We start from the raw sequence: 8,533 nt of genomic DNA, 5'->3' as shown, positions 1-8,533 counted from the left end.
GTAGGCAAATGACATGAATAGACACTTCTCAAAGAAAAAGATATTGCAAATGGCCAAAAAAATATGAAAAAATGCTGAATATCACTAATCATCAGGGAAATGCACATTAAAACCACAATGAAATACCATCTTACCCCAGCCAGAATTGAGTTTTGTTTTGTTGTTGTCGTTGTTTTGTTTTGTTTTTTGAGATAAGGTGTCGCTCTATCACCCAGGTTGGAGTGTAGTGCCACAATCTTGGCTCACTGCAACCTCTCCTCCTGGGTTGAAGCAATCCTCCCACCTCAGCCTCTTGAGTAGCTGGGACCATAGGCATTCACCACCATGCCCTGCTAATTTTTTTTTTTTTTTTTTTTGGTATTTTTTGTAGAAATGGGGTTTCGCCATGTTGCCCAGGCTGGTTTTGAACTCCTGGACACAAGCGATCCACACACCTAGGCCTCCCAAAGTGCTGGGATTACAGGCATGAGCCACTGCACCTGGCCCAGAATTGCCGTTATTAAAAAGACAAAAAACAATAGATTTTGATGTGGATGTGGTGAAAAGGGAGTGCTTATACATTGCTTGTGAGAATGTAAATTTGTACAACCTCTATGGAAACAGTATGGAGAGTTCTTTTTTTTTAAATTTTATTAAAGACTTTATTTTTACAAGTTTTAGGTTCACAGAAAAATTGAGAGAAAGGTACAGAGATTTCTCATATACCCCGCCCCCCAATCCCCCCACCCGCCCCGCCACATGCACAGCCTCCCCACTGTCAACATCCCCCACCTGTACATTTGTTACAATTGACAAACCTACATTGACACATCATAATTACCCAGAGTCCATGGTTTACATTAAAGTTCACTCTCAGTGTTGTACATTCTATGGGTTTGGACAAATTTATAATGACATGTAATCTATCTTTATGGTATTACACAGAGTATTTTCACTGCCCGAAAAATCCTCTGTGTTCCACCTATTCATCCCTCCCTCCCCGCCCACAACTCCTGACAACCACTGATCTTTTAATGTCTAGTATGGAGATTTCTTAAAGATCTACCATTTGATCCAGCAATCCCACTACTGGGTATCTACCCAAAGGAAAATAAGTCATTATATCAAAAAGACACCTGCACATGCATGTTTATTGCTGCACAGTTCACAATTGCAAAGATATGCAACCAACCAATTGGTTGATTGGTGCCCATCAACCCATGAGTGGACAAAGAAAATGTGATATATATACACCATGGATACTACTCAGTCATAAAAAGAACCGAATAATGTCTTTTGCAGCAACATGGATGGAGCTGGAGGCCATTATTCTAAGTGAAGTAACTCAGGAATGGAAAACCAAATACTACATATTCTCATTTATAAGTGGGAGCTAAACTATGGGTATGCAAAGGCATACAGATTGATATAATGGACTTTGAAAACTCAGAAGGCGGAGTTGTAGAAGAGGGATGATGGATTTAAAAACTGCATATTGGGTACAATGTATACTACTTGGGTGATACGTAAATCTCAGACTTTACAACTATACAATTCATCAGTGTAACCAGAAACTGCTTGTACCACAAAAGCTATTGAAATAAATGAATATATATATTAAAATATCATTCATGATAGCAACAAAATGAAATACTCAAGGATAAATTTAACAAAATATGTGCAATACCTATATGCTACACATGACTGAGAAAAACCAAAGAACACCTAAACAGTGTTATTTACTGTGTTTATGAAATAAATAAATAAAAATTTAAAATTTTAAAATTCTAAAAATTAGGCCAGGCAAGGTGGCTCACGCCCATAATCCTAGCACTTTGGGAGGCTGAGGCGGGTGGATCACCTGAGATCAGGAGTTTGAGACCAGCGTGGCCAACATGGTGAAACCCCGTCTCTACTAAAAATACAAAATTAGCAGGGCATGGTGGCACATGCCTGTAATCCCAGCTACTTGGGAGGCTGAGGCAGGACAATCTTGAAGTCAGGAGGTGGAGGTTGCAGTGAGCCGAGATCATGCCATTGCACTCAGCCTGGGAAAAAAGACTGAAACTCCATCTCAAAAATAAATAAATAAATAAATAAATACTAAAAGTAAAAATAAATAAATAAAATTCTAACAATTAAAAAAAGAAAGCTTTTCATCCTCTCCTAAAAATGACAATGGCTGGCAGGATTAAAGAAATTCATGGGAAATTGAAAATCTATCTATGCTTCAATTAGTATTTCTCCTGGTATATAAATTATTTTATTTCTTCATCATTATTCTTTGCCTGTGCAATATGCTGAAGTTATAAAGTTATGAAACTTGAAATCAAGTATCTAAAGTTTATGTTATTTATTTATGTACTTATTTTAAAGACAGGGTCTCGCTCTGTGGCCCAGGCTGGAGTGTAGTGGTGTGATCTTGGCTCACTGCAGCCTCGACCTCCCAGGCTCAAATGATCCTCTTGCCTCAGTCCCCTGAGTAGCTGGAACTACAGGTGTGTGCCACCATGCCTGGCTAATTTTTGTATTTTTTGTAGAGATGGGATTTTGCCATGTTTTCCAGGCTGTTCTTGAACTCCTGGGCTCAAGTGATCCTCCCACCTCAGCCTCCCAAAATGTGGGGATTACATGTGTGAGCCACCATGCCCAGCATATTTATTATGTTTATTTATCTTTTTAAGACTAGTCAAGTGCAGTAGTGAAAGGGGGAAAAGAGGAGAATAAGGATTTCAATCTTTGACTGCGAACAATCAATTGAGGTCACTCACTACCTTCGGAATAGCCAGGTTTATGACTTCATGTCTAAATATCTCACTATTTTGATGATATGTATCACTACTGTATCATGATCACATTTGAGGAGTTTGTTATTGTTATAATATTGTTATCTAATATAATGTTCATATTAGAATATCACCAATTACCCCGGATATGTCCTTTATAGCACTTTTGACCCCCTTCTCGCCAGGATCCAATTCAAGACCATACATTGCACTTTATGGTGGTTCCATTTCATCCCTTTAAATCTGGAGGAGTTCCTCAGCCTTTCTTTGTCCTTCACAGCATCAACTCTTTATTTTTATTTATTTTTATTTTTTTGTAGAGATGGGGTTTTGCCATGTTGCCCAGGGTGGTCTGGAACTCCTGATCTCAAGTGGTCCTCTTGCCTCGGCCTCTCAAATTGCTAGGATTACAGGTAACTTTTTTTTTTGTTTCATAAGACAGGGTCTTGCTGTGTTGTTCAGTCTGGTCTTGAACTCTTGGACTGAAGCAATCCTCCTGCTTCAGCCTCCAAAATAGTTAGGACTACAGTTGCATGCCATGGCGCATGGCATCATTGACATTTTGAAGACTGCAGGCTAGTTCTTTCATAGACTGTCCCTCAATTTGGGTTTCCTCATGATTAGGTTCTGATCATGCACTTTGGGCAGAAATGCTACACGAAATGTTTTGTCCTCAGTGGATTATATCAGGAGGCATATATGATCTCAGCTTTCTTCACTATTGGTGATGTTAATGACAGACGCTTCTTGAGCTGGGTAGCTAAATTGATGTTAGCTACAAACAAATGGATTTTTTTTTTTTTTGAGATGGGGTCTCACTCTGTCACTCTGTCACCTAGGTTGGAGTGCAGTGTTGTGATCTCGGCTCACTGCAACCAACCTCCGCCTCCCAGGCTCAAGCCATTCTCCCACCTCAGCCTTCCAAGTAGCTGGGACCACAGACATGCACCACCACACCCAGCTAAGTTTTGTATTTTTTGGTAGAGACGGGGTTTTGCCATGTTGCCCAGGCTGGTCTCAAACTCCTGAGCTCAAGCAGTCCACCTGTCTGGGCCTCCCAAAGTGCTAAGGTTACAGGCGTGAACCACAATACCCAACAACAAATGGATTTTATAATTCTTTCCTATCTTCTATTTGTGTTATTAAAAACCAATCTGGTGTTCTTCAAAAGCCTCCACTGTTGAAACACATAGACGATATTAAGTCAGAGTGGCTAAGGGCACAGGCTAGAGTGCCTGACACATAGTGGTTCAAACCCCTGATCTCATTTATCAGGAGTAACCTTGAACAATTAACTAATTCTGTAGTTTCCTCATTTGGAAACTGATTGTAATGAGAGTCCCTGCAGCTCATTTGCTTGTAATAGTGTTAAATGAAGCAATCAATGTAATAAAGCACCCAGCACGTGGCCTGGCACAAAGTAAGAGCTCAATAAATATTCAAGATTTTTTTTTTTTTAATCCTAGCCACTAGACCACTAGGGGCATGATTGTTATTATTACAAATTTTTTTCTTTTTGTTTTTGTTTTTTTGAGACAGAGTCTCACTCTGTCACCAGGCTAGAGTGCAGTGGCGTGATCTGGGCTCACTGCAACCTCCACCTCCCAGGTTCAAGCAATTCTCCTGCCTCAGCCTCCCGAGTAGCTGGGACTACAGGCATGCGCCACCACGCCCAGCTACTTTTTGTGTTTTTTAGTAGAGACGGGGTTTCACCATGTTGGCCAGGATGATCTCCATCTCTTGACCTCGTGATCCACCCGCCTCAGCCTCCCAAAGTGCTGGGATTACAGGCGTGAGCCACCGCGCCCGGCCTATTATTATAATTAATACACACAAGATCAAGCAGAGACGGTTGTTCTCCCTAAGACTTTGTCAATCTCTTTTGCCACTGGGATAGGGCCATATGATTTGTTCTGGCCAAAAAACTATAGGTGGAAGTGCCATATGCTGCCTCTATCTGGAACTTCCCCTGCTACAGGGACCTTGGAGGATGCATGCTCCACGAGAAGTAGCTACAAGATGGAGATAGGTTGCCTGTCACATATACAATTTCAATGAATAAGAAGTAAATCTTGGCCAGGTGCGGTGGCTCACGCCTGTAATCCCAGCACTTTGAGAGGCTGAGGTGGGCGGATCACGAGGTTAGGAGTTGAGCCTGGCCAACACGGTGAAACCCCGTCTCTACTAAAAATACAAAAATTAGCCGGTCGTGGTGACGCATGCCTATAATCCCACCTACTCAGGAGGCTGAGGCAGAAGAATCGCTCGAACCCGGGAGGTGGAGGTTGCAGCGAGCTGAGATTGTGCCATTACACTCCAGCCTGAGCAACAGAGCGAGACTCTCTCTAAAAAAAAAAAAAAAAAAAAAAAAGGTAAATCTTTTTGTCTCCAGCCACAGACATATCAAGGTTTGTATTTTACTGCAGCAGAATCTAACATATCCTGGACTAATGTAAGTAGCATGTCCATATAAGGTGTGAATGATAGTTTGACAATTATTCCACAGACTAAATATACAAGTTTTTATGGTTGTTTTTCTTTTTTCTTTTTCTTTTTCTTTTTTCCTTTTTTTTTTTTTTTGAGTCGGGGTCTCACTTTATAGTCCAGGCTGTAGTGCAGTGGTGCAATCACAGCTCACTGCAGCCTCAACCTCCTGGGCTCAAATGATCCTCTCACCTCAGCCTCACGAGTAGCTGGGACTATAGGCGAGTGCCACCACACCTGGTTAATTTAAAAAAATAATAAATTGGGGGACCAGACGCAATGGCTTGCACCAGTAATTTCAGCACTTTGGGAGGCCGAGGCGGGCGGATCACTTGAGGTCAGGAGTTTGAGACCAGCCTGGCTAACATCGCAAAAACCCACCTCTACTAAAAATACAAAATTAGCTGGGCATTGTGGTGGGTGCCTGTAATCCCAGCTACTTGGAAGGTTAAGGCAGGAGAATCACTTGAGGAAGCAGAGGTTGCAGTGAGCTGAGACCCTGCGCCACTGCATGCCAGCCTGGGTGACAGAGCAAGACTCCATCTCAAAAAAATAAAATAAAATAAAATAAATAAATAAGGCCGGGCTTGGTGGCTCACACCTGTAATCACTGCACTTTGGAAGGCCGAGGTGGATGGATCACTTGAGGTCAGGAGTTCGAGACCACCCTGGCCAACATGGTGAAACTCCATCTCTAATAAAAATACAAAATTAGCTGGGAGTGGTGGCGCTTGCCTGTAGTCCCAGCTACTTGGGAGGCTGAAGCAGGAGAATCACTTGAACCCAGGAGGTGGAGGTTGCAGTGAGCCAAGATTGTGCCACTGCACTCCAGCCTGGGCAATGAAAGCAAAACTCCATCGCAAAAAATGTAAATAAATAAACAAACTTTTTGTAGAGATGGGGTCTTACTATGTTGCCTAGGCTGATCTTGAACTCCTGGGCTCAAATGATCCTCCCACCTCAGCCTCCCAAAGTGCTGGGATTACAGATGTGAGCCACCATGCCCAGTCTAAGTATACTATTGATTGTATGTTTATTGATAGTTTATCGATAGTTTATTCTGTGTTTCCTGATACTCATTCAACACATATTTACTGAGCACTGACTACATATCTGACACTGTACTGTCAAACAGCAAGGAAAACTAGACAGGGTTTTTGTTGTTGTTGTTGTTGTTTGTTTTTTCGAGACAGAATCTCCCTCTCTAGCCTAGACTGGAGTGCAGTGGTTCGATTCACCTCACTGCAACCTCCACCTCCTGAGTTCAAGCAATTCTCCTGCCTCAGTCCCCTGAGTAGCTGAGACTACAGGGGCGTGCCACCGTGCCTGACTAATTTTTATACTTTTAGTAGAGATGGGATTTCACCATGTTGGCCAGGCTGGTCTCGAACTCCTAATCTCAAGTGATCCACCTGCCTCGGCCTTCCAAAGTGCTGGGATTACTAATGTGAGCCATTGCGCCTGGCCAATACGGGGTTCTTGCATTCAAGAAGGAATAGTCTAGTGGGGGAGACAGGCATTAATGAAATAATGACAAGTGGATGTATCACTGGCATAAAAACGGACACATAGACCGACAGAACACAATAGATAACTCAGATACAAAACCGCAAATTTACAGTCAACTCATTTTTGACAGAGGCACCAAGAAGATACGTTGGGGAAAGGACAGCCTCTTTAATAAATGGTGATGGGAAAACTGCATAGGATAACCCTATGCAGAAGAATGAAGCTAGACCCCTATCTCTCACCATATATAAGAATCAAATCAAAATGGATTAAAGACTTAAATCTAAGACCTGAAACTATGCAACTACTAGAAGAAAACATTGGGAAATGCTTCAGGACATTGGTCTGGGCAAAGACTTTTTGGGTAAGACCTCAAAAGCACAGGCAACAAAAACAAAAATAGACAAATGGGATTACATCAAGCTAAAAAGCTTCTGCACAGCAAAGGAAACAATCAACAAAATGAAAAGAGAGTTTACAGAATGGGAGAAAATATTTAATAGCCAAAATATGTAAGGAACTCAAACAACCAAATAGCAAAAAAAAGGATAATCTGATTTTAAAATGAACAAAAGATCTGAATAGACGTTTCTCAAAAAGAAGACAAATGGCTTACAAGTATATGTGAAAAAATGCTCAACATCATTAATCATCAGACAAATGCAAATCAAAACCAAACTGAGATATTATCTCATTCCAGTTAAAATGGCTATAACCAAAAAGACAAAAAATAATGGATGCTGATGAGGATGTGGAAAAAGGGAAATGCTTGTGCACTGTTGGTGGGATTGTAAATTAATACAACCACTATGCAGAACAGTATGGCAGTTCCTCAAAAAACTAAAAATAGAACTACCATATCATGTAGCAATCCCACTGCTGGGTATATATCCAAAAGAAAGGAAATCACAGTATGGAAGAATTATCTGCACTCCCATGTTTATTGCAGCACCATTTACAATAGCCAAGATGTGGAATCAGCCTGAGTGTCCACCAATGGATAAATAGTTAAAGAAAATATGGTACATATATAATGAAATATTATTCAGCCATACATAAGAGTAAAATCCTGTAAAATGCAGCAACATGGATGGAACTGGAGGTTATTATGTTAAGTGAAATGAGCCAGGCACAGTATGACAAATACCACATGATCTCACTCATATGTGGGAGCTTAAAAAGTGGATCTCATAGAGGTAGAGAGTTGATTGGTGGTTACCAGAGGCTGGCAAGAGAAGTGGGGCAGGGGACAAGGAAGAGAGATTGGTGAATGGGTACAAAAGTACAATTAGAAAGAACAAGATCTTATGTTTGATAGTACAGTAGGGTGACTATAGTTAACAGCAATATATTATATATTTCAAAATAGCTAGAAGAGAAGAATTGGAATGTTTCCAACATAATAAATGTTTGAGGAGATGGATACCCCAATCACTCTGATTTGATCATTACACATTGTATGTATGTATAAAAATATCACATGCACCCCCAAAATATGTACAACTATTATGTATTAATTTTTTGAAAAGTGTTACTGGTGTCATGCTCTAAAGAAAAGAGGGAACCAGGGTGCTATGAGAGCCTGTAGCTGAGAAATGAGATCTACCACCAGCTGGATGATCTTTGGTAACTTAATAGCCTCATTTTTTTCTATATAAGTACATTGGCTTAGATGATCATAAAGCTCCCTTCCAGCTCTAATATTCTATATTTCTTTGTGAAGTCCTTTCTCTTTATGTGTGTAAGCAGTTTTTTAATGGAAAAAAACAATTTAG

The 8,533-nt window shown here is 40.8% G+C and overlaps 1 annotated feature.

The window, feature by feature from the left end:
• Positions 727 to 904: a silencer, noted in NCBI's record as "fragment chr12:101842465-101842642 (GRCh37/hg19 assembly coordinates)". NCBI's record gives its function as "represses an EF-1alpha promoter that drives an FKBP-Casp9 reporter gene in an ReSE screen in HepG2 liver carcinoma cells and phorbol 12-myristate 13-acetate-treated (for megakaryocytic differentiation) K562 erythroleukemia cells {active_cell/tissue: HepG2 | K562(+PMA)}" and the evidence as "EXISTENCE:reporter gene assay evidence [ECO:0000049][PMID:32094911]".

This window comes from Homo sapiens, chromosome 12 (assembly GCF_000001405.40).
Source record: "Homo sapiens chromosome 12, GRCh38.p14 Primary Assembly".
Lineage (NCBI taxonomy): Eukaryota > Metazoa > Chordata > Mammalia > Primates > Hominidae > Homo > Homo sapiens.
This window is presented reverse-complemented; position numbering and strand designations above follow the sequence as displayed.